This window comes from Homo sapiens, chromosome 2 (assembly GCF_000001405.40).
Source record: "Homo sapiens chromosome 2, GRCh38.p14 Primary Assembly".
In the NCBI taxonomy this organism is placed as follows: domain Eukaryota; kingdom Metazoa; phylum Chordata; class Mammalia; order Primates; family Hominidae; genus Homo; species Homo sapiens.
Genome location: NC_000002.12, coordinates 218781819 through 218798691, shown reverse-complemented (window position 1 = coordinate 218798691; position 16873 = coordinate 218781819). Strand labels below are relative to the sequence as shown.

General features: G+C 43.3%; 1 protein-coding gene across 1 annotated transcript in view; it reads right to left on the bottom strand.

The window, feature by feature from the left end:
- The window catches only part of CYP27A1 (cytochrome P450 family 27 subfamily A member 1), a 33147-nt gene extending 16602 nt beyond the window's left edge, over positions 1 to 16545 (bottom strand). The window contains exon 1 of the mRNA NM_000784.4: positions 16255 to 16545. Within this exon, the coding sequence (NP_000775.1) occupies positions 16255 to 16509 (255 nt within the window). The 5' untranslated portion in view covers positions 16510 to 16545. The remainder of the gene's footprint in view (positions 1 to 16254) is intronic.

Below are 16873 nucleotides of genomic sequence, written 5' to 3'. Positions count from 1 at the left end.
AGGCTGGTCTCGAATTCCTAGACTCAAGTGATCCATCCGCCTCAGCCTCCCAAAGTGCTGGGATTACAGGCATGAGCCACTGCACCCGGCCTAGGCTTTCTAAATGTTTTAAGGTTCTAAACTGCCTTTTGGGTTTTGAGAACTATTTGACTTGCCTACTTCACAATTGGTAAGTGGGACATATGGAATTAACCACACCCTTAATTATGCTGGAAGGATTCAAACCTTGGCTACACCTAGCACAAAAAACAATTTACCAGGCTTTACATTAAAGTTAAAATTGCCAGGAGTTACCATTATAACATGTAATTGAAACAACTGAAAATAGATTTATATGCAAGGTGTGTAAGAACAACAAAATGTATTTTTAATAAAAGATTATAAGAAGGCTGGGCATGGTAACCCATGCCTGTAATCCCAGAACTTTGGGAGGCCAAGGCAGGTGGATCACCTGAGGTCAGGAGCTTGAGACTAGCCTGGCCAACATGGTGAAACCCCATCTCTACTAGAAATACAAAAAAATTAGCCAAGTGTGGTGGTGCATGCCTGTAATCCCAGCTACTCGGGAGGCTGAGGCATGAGAATTGCTTGAATCCAGGAGGCAGAGGTTACAGTGAGCCGAGATCACACCACTGCACTCCAGCCTGGGTGACAGGGCGAGACTCTGTCTCAAAAAAAAAGATTATAAGAAGGCATGAAAATGTAAATTCTTGCCTAGGGTTAAAAGATTGTTTTAAATTAGATAAGAAAAGCTAAAAATTCAAACAAGTAGTGAAAGGATTATAAAAATTAATCTTGCAAAATTCTGTGTGTGAACATATTGACTAAATTCCAAAGGGTATTATATGCTTTTTCTGTAAATTGAGCATTGAAATAAAAGCACAAGGATACTCTTAAGGCACTAATCTGCTCTTTAGCAAAACTTGTGAAGGGTTATAAAAGGCTTTTTGCTTTTAAGTTTCTGAGTCATCATTTTGGCAAAATAAATAATTTATGATAATCTGGAATTCTATTTCATAACATCAGGTGTTCTAAACCTCTAACATATTTAACAGCCTTCCCAATATCAAACTTCAGTTTCAAAATTGTCTTTCCTGATGCATGGCTTTTTGGATGGTTCAGAGGGTCTCTGGAAAAGGTAAACAGGATAATTTGTCATGTTTAGAGATTGCCAAAATGGTGTTCGATCTTCTTTAGGTTATACCTTGGTGAATAATGCTGATATATGTTCCAAAATTGTATGGGATCTCGGAAATTCTGATGTCTGAGTATATGCTATCAATCATAATTAAGGCCAGGCGCAACGGCTCGTGCCTGTAATCCTTGCACTTTGGGAGGCAAGGTAGGTGGGTCACCTGAGATCAGGAGTTCAAAACCTGCCTGGCCAACATGGTGAAACCCCATCTCTACTAACAATACAAAACATTAGCCAGGTGTGGTGGTGGGCGCCTGTAATCCCAGCTACTCAGGAGGCTGAGGCAGGAGAATTGCTTGAAACTGGGAGGCAGAGGGAGATTGCAGTGAGCCAAGATCATGCCATTGCACTCCAGCCTGGGCAACAAGAGCAAAACTCCATCTCAAAAAAAAATTATAATTCAGGTTGTTATGTTAAGTTATTGTAAACCAGAGATAACCAGACTTCTTTGTCAACTGTGTTTCTAACTGTAACTACCCTGGGAATTTTGTTTTTCACAGACAATTGTTTTCTTGTTTTACTCCTTTTCGAAAGACGGTTTATAGTAAGCTATAGGACTTTGACAGGTGTTCTCAAATGCAGGTTTCTGATAACTTTGGATATTGCGACATTGGAATAAAGGAAGAGCTGAAATATTCACAAATATCAAGCAAAACAAGAGCTAACTGAAAGAACTCAGGAAACTGAAGCATGTCTTTTTGACTTTTGCTTGTAATACTGCTGATCCTTGTTTTGTTTTTCAGAGTCAAAGAAACTTATTTTGAATTATTTACAGCCTTAATAATTGAGTAAGCTATATGCCCGTGAACAAAACTTGGAGCATGTTTGTTTCTCTCTGCCAGGTTCCTCTAGAATTTGGAAACTATCTGTGAGTTGTGTTTTTTTGTTTGTTTGTTTGTTTTTGAGACAGAGTCTTGCTCTGTTGCCCAGGCTGGAGTGCAGTGGTGTGATCTCGGCTCACTACAACCTCTGCCTCCCGGGTTCAAGTGATTCTCCTGCCTCAGCTTCCCAAGTAGCTGGAACTATAGGTGTGTACCACCACGCCTGGCTAATTTTTGTATTTTTAGTAGAGACGGGGGTTTCACCATGTTGGCCAGGCTAGTCTCGAACTCCTAACCTCAGGTGATCCATCCGCCTCAGCCCCCCAAAGTGCTGGGATTACAGGCGTGAGCCACTGCACCCAGCAGAGTATTCTTAATTTATGGCAATATAGTTGTTTGCATCAGTGCAATAAGAATCCATTTTTCTTTTGCAACAGGATGCAATTGGAGAAACTGTTGTTTTACCAAGGCTTTGACTAGAAAGGTATGCTTCCCTTTAAGGAGTCAAGCTCGACTTGCCAAGCCAATAAAAGCCCCTTTTGGAAAAGAAACTGGCCTTATACCCTCGACTACACAGTCCCTGTACAGGGTTCCTGACCCGTGGTCAGTAAAGAATGTCACTTTCTAACAGGCCCAGGAGCTCCGAGTTTATCTTGGGACCTTAAAGGAGAGGATCACCCAACTCACAGGTATTTAAGGATACAAACCCATGGCTGGGCTCAGCTTTAAAAGGTCTTATCTGAGCTTCCTTTTGGAACAGAGTTCCATCAAAGCCAATCTAAAAGGCCTATGTAGAAATAATTATTCTTGCTGTACTTTATGCAAATAATCAGGCCAAGTATAAGACTAAAGTCTACTTTGCAAACAACTCAGTCCTATTATGATTTTTTTTAACAAAAATGAGGACTGGAGAGAGAGAAATTATGTTTCAAAACTTATACATTTGTAATTAAATTCTAAACTCATTCATTGTTCTTAAGTTTTTGCCTACATTTTAGACTAACCCTGCCTGCTCCTGTGAACCAACCAGCAATCTTTGGCTGCAGCTCAGATGGATAATGTAAAAATCTGGGTCAATATTCTGGTTCTGAGCAATTATCCTGCAAATCCTGTCAGGTGACAGGAATAAGTAGGATGCCCATCACTTGGAGGTTTCCTTTTTGGGAAAGGAAGACCAAGGGAGCTAACCAAAACCAAGCACCATGCACCCAAGTCTTAGCAAGCATAACCATAGCCACCAGTTATCTGGGTGTGTCACAAGACATCCCTTTCTCTCCCTTGTTGCAGGAGGACTCGATTCCACAGTTTCACCTTAGCATTTGGCTTATGATAAGAAGTCCATGCAACACCCCCTGAGACACAATTTTGTCCCAAACTCAATTCCAAGCTTCGGGTCAAAGCCCTAGGAAAGAAAACTGGATCTACAGGATCCAGAGGCAGATGATAACAGAGGTTAAAAGGCACAGCACAGGTGAGCATGGCTAATTTCTGCTGATTAAGCCAAGCCTCTCATTTCATGGATAAAGTCATGCTAGTATCCATGGCATAAATGAGGTCTAGGGAACTCCAAGGCTACTGACACTAGTGGGAATAGAGACATAGGTGAGAGTGGATAATTCCTATTCTCTAGGCCCTCCCTGCTTCATGGGTTCAGGCCGCTTTGACACCCATGGGTGGCACCCTGTCGCAGTTGTCAGGATTCAGGGATGCAAGGATGGAAGAGGGAAAGAGAATACTCTTCCTTCTCTTCTTCATGTACCCCAGATATTTGCTAGGAAGAGAAGGGAACCAGAGATGTCTGCTCCTCTCTTTTCTAGATGAGTAGCCATTCTTCTTCAGTCTGTACCCTTTCAAATGCATCCTGAACCCCTAGGACCCCTTTGAAAAGGAGCCTTCTTTTTTCTTTTCTCCTCCTCTGTCCTCTCTTCACTGATAGGTAATTGTGGCTCTGTACTACAGGACACTCCCCTCAGATGCATCCTCCAAACTGGGAAAAGTTAATTTCCCAAACCTTAAACTGGCTGGTTCAGGATTGGGCTCAAGGGAAGGGAACCCAGAAGCCCAACACGCCGGCAAAAGGGTAAAGTTTTTTTTAACCAGTCAGGATTTTGGCCTCCCTCTCCCTGGGCAAACTGGTAAAAGGCCTTGGGATTTTTGAGCTGATCTTACCCGCCCTTTTCTCCTTTTGATACATGTTTTCTAATAACCTGGTTTGTCTCTTCTCACCTTCAGGCCATCAAACTCCAAATGGTCATGCAACCAGAGCCTCTGACAATGGCCCGTTTTGCCGGGGACCCTTAGGCCTCTGAGGGAGATATGACTGCCATTTTCCCAAAACTATGCCCGCTGTCAGCAGGAAGCAGTTAAGATCAATCTTCATCCTTATCCCAATCCTTATTCTAATGGCAGTTAGAAGTACTTCTTTAGAGTGGGGAATGAGACAGCCAAGTAAAAAGAGGTCCCTGGAGAAACTCCGACTGGTCCGCGCACTGGGGTGGAGCCTCGGGAGGTTTACCCGTTTGCAGAGGGAGGAGCTTGTCCTCTCCCGTACCAGGGTGGTAACCTGGGGATTCAATCTGTGAGATGGGGGCCTGTTAACAGGCACCTCTCTAGCTTTACTGAATTTTTTTCCTTTTCACCCAATAAATTCCATTTTTCTCACCCTTCTATGTGTCCGCGAGCCTAATCTTTCCTGGTTGTGTGACAAGGACCCCATTTTTAATTGAACTAAGAAGAAAGTCCTACAACAGCCTGGCCAACATGGCAAAACTCTGTCTCTACTAAAATACGAAAAATTAGCCAAGCATGGTGGCGCATACCTATAATCCCAGCTACTTGGGAGTCTGAGGCATGAGAATTGCTTGAACCTGGGGGCGGAGGTTGCAGTGGGCCGAGATGGTGCAACTGCACTCCAGCCTGGGTGAAAAAGTGAGAATATGTCTCAAAAAAAAAAAAAAAGAAAGAGAAACTTGGGGAAAATGTGAAACAAAAGGTTTATGGAAATGTGTGGTTTAAAAGATGACAAATTTGATAAATGTATTTATGAAGTTTTATTAAAATTAGTTTTAATATGATAATATACTAATACAAAAGTGAAATATTTCTCTTTTGGATAAAATTTTCTGTAGTGTTAATAAGACAGTAAAATATTTTTGTTCACTTTTTACATAAACTGCAACAAGAAAAAAGAGAGAGGAAAGAAGAGATTCTGTCTCATGCTGTCTTATGTCTTTTGATTGTTCGGAAAACTGAGTCTCCTTTATCAAAGAGTACAGGTTTTTTGTTTTTAAGTATCTTTTAGGCCAGGTGGGATGGTTCATGCCTCTAATCCCAGCACTTTGGGAGGCCAAGGTGGGTGGATCACCTGAGGTCAGGAGTTTAAGACCAGCCTGGCCAACATGATGAAACCCCATCTCTACTAAAAATACAAAAATTAGCTGGGCATGGTGGTGCATGCCTGTAGTCCCAGCTACTCGGGAGGCTGAGCCAGGAGAATCACTTGAACCCAGGAAGCGGAGGTTGCAGTGAGCCGAGATGGTGCCATCACACTCCAGCCTGGGTGACAGAGTGAGACTTTGTCTCAAAAAACAAACAAACAAATAAAAAGAATCTTTTAATTATCACTTTGGTTAAATGAATGACTATTGTTTTATGGTGACCTGTGATTCTATTTTGGTCAAGTGTTTTAAACCTTTGACATATTTGTCAGGCTTCCCAAAAATCAGATTTCAGCTTCAAAATTAAGTCTTTTTTGACCTTTAACTTTGGGATGCTACAGAGGTTCCCTGAAGCATCCAAAAGAGAGGTAAACAGAATTATTTGACATGCTAAGTTACATGGGAAGCATTGTCAAATTAGAAACAATGTTTAACCTTCCTCAGGTTACATTTTAATGAATGTTATTAATATATGTTCCAAAATTGTATGGGATTTCTAAAATTCTAATGTATATTTATATTATTGTAGGCCACAGAAATAACCAAATTTCCTTGTCAGTTGTGTCATTAACTATGACTATTTGAAGTCATTTCCCCAATTAATTGCTTAATTCTGATGCAGTTTATGAAAATTTCACAAACACGCAAAATCCTAGAATATGATGTCTTTAAGGAGGTTCATGAAAGGACAGAAAGAACCCTGAGAAGCACTCTTGAATTATTTTAAAAGGTTATAATAACTTTAAAATCATATATTTGGACTGGGTAAGAATTCTTGAAACTTCAGTGAAGAAACTGACTGGTTTATAAAACTGCTAACCCAAGCAGAACAAAAATTAATTAAATACCAAAAAAAACACCTTGCCAGATGTTCATGCTAAATCATCCAGTACTGAAATTGTTTAGATATACAGTTTGAATGAACTCCATGTTCTAAGTCAAATTACCTATGATAACTTATCAATTATTAGTGCTATGCACCTAAATTGGAGAAACAACTGGTATCCAAGAGGATGTAAGTCCAATGTTAAGCATGGACTCACAGAGAACCAGGACAGCCACCTTGTCCTTCCTGAGTCCTTAAAGCTTTTTTTTATTAAAAGTTCTGCATTCCATAACTCATCATGAAAAACATAAAATGATCCAAATTAAATGTGTGTGTGTGTGTGTGTGTAGTGACTTCTACATTGCTAAAATAGTTTATGACCAATATTTGGTTTGTCAAACCCATATTCCTGGGAAGACAATAAAAATTTCAGGTACATTTCGCTAGCTGATGGGACATTTAAACATTTATAGAGGGATTTCATTCTATTGTCATTTTTCAATGCAGGTCGTCTGGTTGTATAAAAGCTTTCCCACACAAGAGGACTGATGTTGTAACAGTAGCTCATCATGCCACCGTGTATTTTCACCAGGAAAAGAAAGCTTTTCATGGTTCACTGACTGAGGACATGAAGCCCTTCACAATCTAGAGCCCAAAGAGTAGGTCTTCTGAGAATGTCACAGAAAGACTGCACTTGCCATCCATACTGCATCAAGACTTTGAGACCTTGAACCTTGGGTTCATAATTTCATAACTCAGAAGGGTCCCTCCACATACTTGGAACTGTACACCCATTAGAAACCTTAAGGTAAAGCTAACCAGGGAAGTTTCTCCCCAGAAGAAGACGGTATCCTTGATGTAGACTTTTTCCCAAGATCACAGATCAAGACTTCTTTACTATCACGAGACTCTTATCTTTCAATTTTTTCTTTGTTTATGCCCCTACGAATAATAGAAGTGAAAAGGGGGTCTGTTGTGTGCACTCATGGGGTGTACTTTTATTTGTGAAAGATTTTGCAGCCAGCCTTATTACATGGATAACCTTATGCCTTGATAGATGGAAGACAAAGGGCCAATGTAGGTGGGAAATTTTAATGACACATACATTGCCTCATAGTCTGTCAGAAACAGAGCACTGGTCCACTCCTGTTAACCTACATCATGGTTTAAAAAGATCATTGCCAGGAGGTCTTAACTCTTCTCAAAGGGCATCATGTATTAGGTCCTTTTTTCCATGGTTTGGAGTAAATGAGGCAATGATTGGAAATTTATCCCTCAGCTGGGTACAGTGGCTCATGCCTGTCATCCCAGTACTTTGGGAGGCCGAGGCGGTTGGATCACTTGAAGTCAGGTGTTCAAGACCAGCCTGGCCAACATGGTGAAGCCCCGTCTCTATTAAAAATACAAAACTTGGCTGGGCACAGGGGCTCACACCTGTAATCCCAGCACTTTGGGAGGCTGAGGCAGGCAGATCACGAGGTCAGGAGATCGAGACCATCCTGGCTAACACAGTGAAACCCCGTCTCTACTAAAAATACAAAAAAAAATATAGCCGGGAGTGGTGGCGGACCCCTGTAGTCCCAGCTACTCGGGAGGCTGAGGCAGGAGAATGGCGTGAACCCGGGAGGTGGAGCTTGCAGTGAGCCGAGGTCGTGCCACTACACTCCAGCCTGGGCAACAGAGCGAGACTCCATCTCAAAAAAAAAAAAGAAAGAAAGAAATTTATCCCTCATGATAGGCTCTCTAGCAGATTCTACTGTAAAGGATATGGTTACACAACAGACTTAAAATTCTCTTCTGAAAGTTATGCTAAATAATAGAATTGCTCTAGATTACCTGCTGGCTAAACAGGGAAGTATCTATGCAGCTGTTGGCACTTCCATCACATCTGGTATTTTAGAGATTCAGTTGTAGGGGATTAACAAAGAGACTGCTTAGTTAAAGCAAGTAGAGTCTTTAGCTGATTCTTTGATCTATTTGATTTTAGTTGGTTTGTTTTATGGGGAACCTGGCTAAGGAGCATAGTCCAAACTCTAGGTATTATCCTCTTGATAGTCATAACAGTAGTCTCCGTGGTGCACTGTATTCTCTCAAAAGTTTTAAATGTTTGCATGCAGCCATCTCTAGAATGTCAAATGGTCTCTCTTCAACTGGAATGAAAAGAGCTAAAAGATATATGTGACCATGAGAGGCACCATAACCTATGAATGATGTGCTGAGACCAGAAACACAAAATGAGGTAACTGAGAGCAGTGCTAAGGCCCTAAGTTTTGCTCATACTCTTACCTAAGTAAGAAACTGACCAAAAGAGGAGAAATTGGAAACAAATTATGGGAGGCCATTGTTTTCGACTAAGCTCATGCACTAGCCTCCAACAGACCACACCAAACCAAAATAGAGTCATTTATGCTAAATGTGACATAATCAAACTAAGACTTTAAGGAAACAAATAGATCCTAGAACAGACTAAGTTTTGTTTTTCTTCTGTAAACAGGACATCCCACCATAAGGAGGTACCCTCTACTCTAACCTTCACAAAAAAATAACCTGAAGTCCTTGTTCCCACCTTACAAAACCCACTGCTCTGCTATTTCCCAGTGGGTTCCAAGACCAAATAAATACATTTACAATGGTGATAATGACATCAATGAGTAAAGTCTTGGTCATCCTCTAAAACTGAAATAACCGAAAGTGGGGAATTGTTAAATCAAGTTCAAGTTTAGCCTAAAGCTGCCTCCTTATATATTAAGTTTGGCCTAAAGGTTTCTCAGCACATTACAAACTATAACGTAAATGGAGTTGTATACAGACTGTAGCCTACTCTTGTGCCAATCACCAAGTTTTGGCCAATCAGAGGTGGCCAACTGTTCAAACCGTGTTCAAATTAGGCTAATGCCAAGCTGTAATCAATCCGGCTGTTTCTGTACCTCACTTCCATTTTTTGTATGTCACTTTCCTTTTTCTGTTCATACATCTTCTTCCACCACATGGCTGCACTGGAGTCTCTGAGCCTACTCTGGCTCGGGACGCTGTCTGATTTGTGAATTGTTCTTTGCTCATTTAAACTCTGTTAAACTTAATTCAGCTAAAGTTTTTCTTTTTCAACACGTTCTTTCCATCTCTTAGCAAGCAATAAATATTAATAGATCTGTCCCTAACCTTTTTAATGGCTGCATGAAATTTCATCATATGGATGTACCATAATTTAATTAGCCCCCTACTATGGGACATTTAAATCATTCTAATTTTCCTGACTACAAATAAGGCTGCCTTGAATATTCTTGCATGTCTCTTTGCCTACAGCAGTTTATCTGTAAGGGCAAATGCTAAATTGCTATGATTCATTCTGGCAATGTAATTGCTAAATTGGCATAACTCACACATATTTCACCTTAATACTTAGTTTCATATTCCCATCTCTGAGGCTTTTGGGCCATGTTCCCTGTTCTGCTACATCCTCAAGGACAACTTTATAGATGTCTACCAGATGGCCCTGAAAAACACTTAAGTCCAGTCAAGGTAACTGGACAATAATCTCTGGAAGGCCTGATGGTAACATGAGTGCTAAGGAAGAAAATCTATCTAATCAAAGGTTTTTGTCAAACTGAAGAAAGAATGTGTTAACAGAATGGGAGTGGTGTTAACAAAATCCAGAAGAAGGAAGCCAAATAGGAAGAATTTGGCAGCATTTATCACTCACAGTCCAAGGGAGAGAGATAATTAACCTAACGGAGAGTCACCAGAGAAGTATATTCAAAAGGGTTTCTCCAAGGCCTAGATGGAATTTTCTTCCATACGATTCTACTCCTTTAGTTCTGGGTCCTTCCAAGCTGTTCAGTAATGTAGTTAATAATTTCTCTCCCTAGGTACCTGAATCCTAGGAAAAGGGTGTAGTGGATTAAAGATAGCTACAGATTCCTTGACATGCCTCCCATTAAGAGGTGAAGTCCATGTCTCCAGGATCTCAGTGGGCTCTGTAACTGCTTTGATGAGTGGAATACAGTGGAAATGATACTGTGCTGGTTTTCAGGCCCAGGCCTTAAGAAACTGCAACTACTACTTTCCGTCTCTTGGAACATTCACTCTGGGGGAAGCCAGTACATGCAAGAAGTCCAAGTGTTCTAAGACCACCATGCTGTAAGGAAGCTCAAGCCAGTCATATGAAGAGAGAAAGATAACCAGCTGTTCTGGCCAAACCAGGCCAGGCACAAAACATGCAACTAGAAAACTCATCTTGGCCATTCCGGCCCCAGAAGATGTGACATGGCAGCTAAAAGCCAGACTCAGGGCCCAGACATATGGCCTCACTTGAGCAATCCTCTCCATTTTGCCCATTTGAGCTGAAGGCCCACTCCATCATGAAGCAGAGATAAGTCATTTACACTGTGCCCTGCCCACATTCCTGACACACAAAATTATGACTATAACAAAATATTTGTTGTTTTAAGCAACCACGGTTTGGGATAGTTTGTTATGCAGCAATAGATAACTAGAACAGAGGGTTCTAGTGCAATGGAGTATTATGATTCCTGGGAGGCTTGACTTCCTGTCTTAGTCGTTTTGTATTGATATGACAGAATATCTGAGGCTGGGTAATTTATAAAGAACAGCAATTTGTTTCTTACGGTTCTGGAGGCTGGAAGGTCCAAAGTTGAGGGGACTGTATCTGGTTAGGACCTTCTTGCAATGTCATCGGATGGCAGAAAGCAGAGCATGTGGGTATGGTGGGGAGGGAGGGGTTAAAATAATCTTTTATCAGTAACCACTCCCATGATAACTAATCATTCAGAATCATTCCAATCACCTCTTAAAGGTCCCACCTGTCAACACTGTTGCATTGGAGATCGAGTTTCCAACACATGAACTTTAGGAAACATTCAAACCATAGCACCTCCTCATTATATAATCATGTTGGGCACTCCAGTCCACACATTTGTTTCTCTGGATTTGGCCAGTGTGGGTCAGTCCCCAGTAATCTGCCCATGCTGAATGTGATGACAACATTTAGTTTCTGAAACCTCAAACACTGAGAACTGAAGGGTCAGGCTTGTTCAATCTGCCCACCTCCCTCATTGTCTTTTCTTCACTCTATATTATGTCAAACAACCCAGATCAGGGAGCTGGGAAGAAGAGTGTCACATATAAGTTTACCATCAGATGTATCCACTGCTCAGTACCACTCATGGCACCTCCCCTATGCCTAAGACCGTGCCTGGCACTTGGGGGAAAGAGGTAGGAAAGACATAGGCCCAGCCCTCACAGCTTCACAGCCCAATCTCTAAGCCATATAAACAAGTGATGATAAGAAACAAGATACATGATGGCCAGGTACAGTAATTTATGCCTATAATCCCAGTACTTTGGGAGGCCAAAGTGGGTGAATTGCTTGAGCTCAGGAGTTCAAGACCAGCCTGGGCATGGCGAAACCTCTTTCTACCAAAAATAGAAAAATTGGCCAGGAGTGGTGGTGCATGCCTGTGGTCCTAACTACTTGGGAGGCTGATGTGAGAGGACAGCTGGAGCCCAGGAGGTCAAAGCTGCAGTGAGCCATGATCGCACCACTGCACTCCAGCCTGGGTGACAGAGTGAGACACTGTCTCAAAAAAAGAAAAAAAAAAGAAAGAGAAATATGATAACATAAAATGACACATATGTACTTAGGACATTGGGGCACCTGGAGGGATTAAATCATTAATCTCCTGGGCACTGGGGGGCACAGGAAGGGTCACCAAGCCAGGCAGTGCACAAAAAGAGCTACAGAATAGATATCTCATAATTCTCAGGATCAATATGTTTGAAATATATTAATTTGGCATAAATGCAACATATGTTTACATTCCATTTTTCCAGCATTCAATGTAATTTTTATTAGGAAAGAGAAAGGCACTGGCATTGGCATTTATGTAGTACGACTTTTACATGTCCTAATTCCTACCACACTCCCTTAAGTGCTACAATGCTTCTCAAAGCTGATTTTTATTACTTTTATGTGTGCTAATGCAGTTTTTGACAACTGAGGGCACAAGGGACATTGTGGTTGGCTGTTCCTACATCCATTGCCGTCCTCCCCTTTGTGTGGCAGACACCTGGTTTGGGTGGGAGGGACCCTAATCCCAGCTTGAGGGTGAACCTCCACAGAGGTAAGCTAATTAGGGTATGTCTATCTCCACCTGGCCACTATCGTGGGCTCATGGATAGGCAATTAACCCAGGCCAAGCCAGTCAACCAACTCCTGCAAGACAGCTGAGCCAAGGGAACTGCAGAAAAACAGAGCTGCCATTTTTTAAATTTAGAGGTGGGGTCTTGCTATGTTTCTCAGTCTGGTCTCAAACTCCTGAACTCAAGGGATCCTTCTGCCTCAGCCTCCCAAGTAGCTGGGGGACTGTAAGTTTGTGCCATCACACCCAGCCAAAGCTGCAGCTTTGATGACTTCCTGAATCTCTAGAATAAATACACCTGAAGGACACTCAACTATTGGTCTTTTCAGTTCTATGAGCCAATAAAGCTGCTTTATAGTTTGAGCCAGTTTGAGTGGCAACCTAACAAATTCTGATACAAAGTGAGTAACTGAAACACATTCTCTAATTTTAAAAGGTTATTAACTGAGTTTTATAGATGTACAACACTCCTCTATTAACTCACACTAGCCACATGTAATGGGAAGGACTAATGTATTTCCCATGGGATGGCCCAGGTTCGTGTGCCCCAAGATCTTTGGGATACAAGGACTGAAACCAGGTGGCTCTGCTACTATATCCCAGCCCTAGACTCTCCTTTAAAAAGCCATACTTCCTGACTTTCCCCTGCTTCCTCTTCCTCATCCTAAAGCCATCTAGAATTTCTTTGGTTAGTTACTGCTCTAGACATCATCCTAAGCAAATCTGCCCCTGAGAAATCCTTAGTTCTCACCCTTGAGGCATTTACTGGGTCTCTCCCATTTCTAGAGGTTAAACCAAGCAGAAGAAGTTAACAGGAGTCTGTTTTCTTGGCTTAAAGCAGGGATCCCCAACAACGGGGCCACAGACCAGTACTAGTCTGTGACCTGTTAGGAACCAGGCCTCCCAGCAGGAGGTAAGCAGTAGGTGAGTGAGCAAAGCTTCATCTGTATTTACAGCCACTCCCCATCACTCACATGACCACCTGAGCTCTGCCTCCTGTCAGATCAGTGCTGGCATTAGATTCTCATAGGAGCACAAACCCTATTGTGAACTGCATATGTGAGGGATCTAGGTTGCACACTCCTTAAGAGAATCTAATGCCTGATCTGTCACTGTCTCCCATCACCCCCAGATGGGACAGTCTGGTTGCAGGAAAACAAGCTCAGGGCTCCCACTGATTCCACATTATGGTGAGTTGCATAATTATTTCATTATATATTACAATATAACAATAATAGAAATAAAATACACAATAAATGTAATGCACTTGAATCATCCCAAAACCATCCCCACCACCCCAGTCCATGGAAAAATTGTCTTCCACAAAACTGGTGCCAAAAAGACTGGGGACCACTGGCTTAAAGGATCTGGGTTCACAAGAAGTGATTTCAAAACCATCTCTCAGTATTTTGTGACCTGCCCCCTGTCAACCTGAAATACTCAAAAGAATCAGAATCCAGTTTTAAACATTTTATTCAAGTGAAAAGCTGGGAATAGCCATTTGGGAAGCACACACTCCAGAAAAATGGGATCAGTGCTCCAAAGTTAAAAGTTAAGTCCTTGCTTATATAGACAGGAAACAAAGTTTCATAGGGTTATAACATTTTCTACACAAGGCTGGTTTATAAGTTACAATTTAATTAGTTATCACTTGTTTTCTTTTCCATGTGTCTCATTTTCATTTCCTTTCCAATTTAAAATAGTATAGTTAACATTTCTTCTTAAAGCAATGCGATAGGCATGAAATCTTTGCGTGAGAAAGGTAAAAGGAAGTTAATCTATAATGAAGTTCAACAGTGAAGAGGGAAGGCATCTTCCTTGGCCTCCTGTAGACATTTACAACATTTTCAAAACAACAGAGGTAAAGAAAGTTAATCTAAAATCAGAGAAACAAAGGTTACAGCAGCCTGCTTATGTGACTTGAGTGCCATAATCACATAATCACATTCCCTTAAGGCTCAAAATATTTTAAAGTTCCAACAGCTTAGGTTTTGAATTATTTATTTTCACATCCCCAAGTCTCACAAACATGAGCCCAACAGGGAAGATTGCAGGAGAGACAGCAGCCACCAGGACAGGGCAGAGGATGCAGCCCTGGTTGTAGTCAGTTTTGCCCTTCGTTGCCCTCAGAGTCATCTTCTCCCTCATCCTCAACCTCCATTCCAGTTTTCTCTGGAGTGTGGCTCAGATCTGCCTCTCCATCCTGGATCCTGCCACGCCTGAGCCTTCATCACCTTAGACCCTCTGCACCTCTCCTACTACACACACCACAGCCTGGACAGTGTTCCATGCAGGCCGTCTTCACCCCATGCTTGCTCAAGAGCTCACCATGGCCCCTCAGAGGAACCAGGGCCCTTATCTTGATCTTCAAGGCTGTCCTCAAAGGCCAGTCCTGTCCCCAGTCCCCACAGCTCCTCCTTACTTTTGACTCCTTCCCAGCACAGACACATGACCAGCAGATGGTTGGCTACCCCAGCCCAGGACCAGCCTACTCCTATCAGTCCCTGACAACCAAGTGTCCTTGTGGAGGCACCCCGAATCGAAGCCCCCTCCCTCTTCCCCAACCTTAGAACAGCTTCTCCCCCAGAGTTCTCTCTGTGAAGTTAACTTTTTGTTGCTTTATCTCTTTGTCCTCCATCTTCTTCAGAGGAGCATTTAAGCCCCATGAGGGCAGAAGCCTCATCTCACTGAATCCCAGTACTTGGAACCATGCCTAGAACATGGTAGGTGCATTCATATTTGTTGATAGTCATTAGGAAGATAGATCCTGTATGAACCCCTTTGGTTCATTCCCTAAATCCTCTCCAACATTGGTCAGTGTTGGGTTTTCCGGTCTCTGTCAGTGAGCAGTGAGCTGTTCATCCCTGCCTCATTTCTGTGTTCTGCTGTATAAAACTTTCTTATTAGACATTGGTTTTCTCCCCCAACACCACTAACCTGAACACAGACTACAGGCTGATTTCTTTTTTCTTTTTTTCTTTTTTTTTTTTTTTTTTTGAGACAGAGTTTCGCTCTTGTTGCCCAGACTGGAGTGCAATGGCGTAATCTTGGCTCACCACAACCTCTACCTCCCTGGTTCAAGCGATTCTCCTACCTCAGCCTCCCTAGTAGCTGGGATTACAGGCATGTGCCACCATGCCCGGCTAATGTTTGTATTTTTAGTAGAGATGGGGTTTCACCATGTTGGCCAGGCTGGTCTCAAACTCCTGACTTCAGGTAATCTGCCCACCTCAGCCTCCCAAGGTGCTGAGATTACAGGTGTGAGCCACTGCACCCGGCCTCAGACTGATTTCTTAATAACAAAAAGTACCTTTTCCTTACTGTCTGTGAGTTTGCTTCCACGATCTGAGATGCAGCATTGTGTTTTCCCCTAAGAGGAAATTTACCTTGCAAATAACCAAGAGGTTTCTATAATCCTCCTGAAGTTATTTCGTTTGGAAGAAGTCTGTGGTAGCCAATATCAGCCCAGAATTAGTGATTCCATAATATCCGTTAGCTTACACATTTGCCTCTGCCACTCTCTTCCCAAGACAGCTCCCTCCTCAACCTCTGCTCACTGTAAGTCCGGCGTCCAGATCCCCCCCTTACTGGTGCCGTCCTGATTTAAGCCCTTCCTCGTCCTGTTTATCTCAGCTCAAAGGGCTCTGTCTGCACTTTGCCCATTCTCCCTACTGATTTCCAGTTTATGACCATAGCCTCAGTGGGTCCCCAGCTGAGTTCCTGCAGCCTTCACTTTCTGTCCAACGTCTTCTCACCTCTAGCCTCTCTGTTCCGGTGCCCACTCCCATCCCCAGGACGCGATGCCCCCGCGGGTTACCTGTAACTGGTGCAGTTGCAGGGCATAGCCTTGAACGAACAGCTGAAAGAAGAAGCGCAGCTGTCCTAGACGTGGAATCTCCTCTAAGCTCCGTTGCCGCCGCCGGACACCAGGCCCGGCTCCGGGAGCTCCGGTGGCCTTGTCCGAGGGGAGGGCGGCAGGGATCGCGGCCTTGGCTCTGGCCCCGTGGGGGCAGAGGCCACGGCCGGCCCCTCGCAGCGCCCACCTCAGCCTCGCGCAGCCCAGCGCAGCCATGGGTTGTGCTCGCGCGCCTGCACCTTTGGGTCGAGTGCTGAGTCCCCGGACCCGCCCAGACAGCAGTGCAGGGCGGGTTCAAAGCCGGGCGCTGGGGAGGGCCGAGCAAAGGCCAGCTAGACCCCTTCCCGCTCGCTCCCTCGCTCCTCCCAGCGACGCGGGAGCTGCAGGAGAGGGACGCGGTGACTCGGGGATATCCACGGCGCCCCGACCAAGGCCTCCGCCACGACTCCTCACCCCGCGCCCCCGAGGCCTCTCAAATAACTTTTCGCTTGGTCTGAACTCTGGGCGGGGGTGCAGCGAGATTCTTTCGAAATCGGGAAGCCCCACACCGGGATAGGTCCTCGCCCGGTCGCGGTTCCCC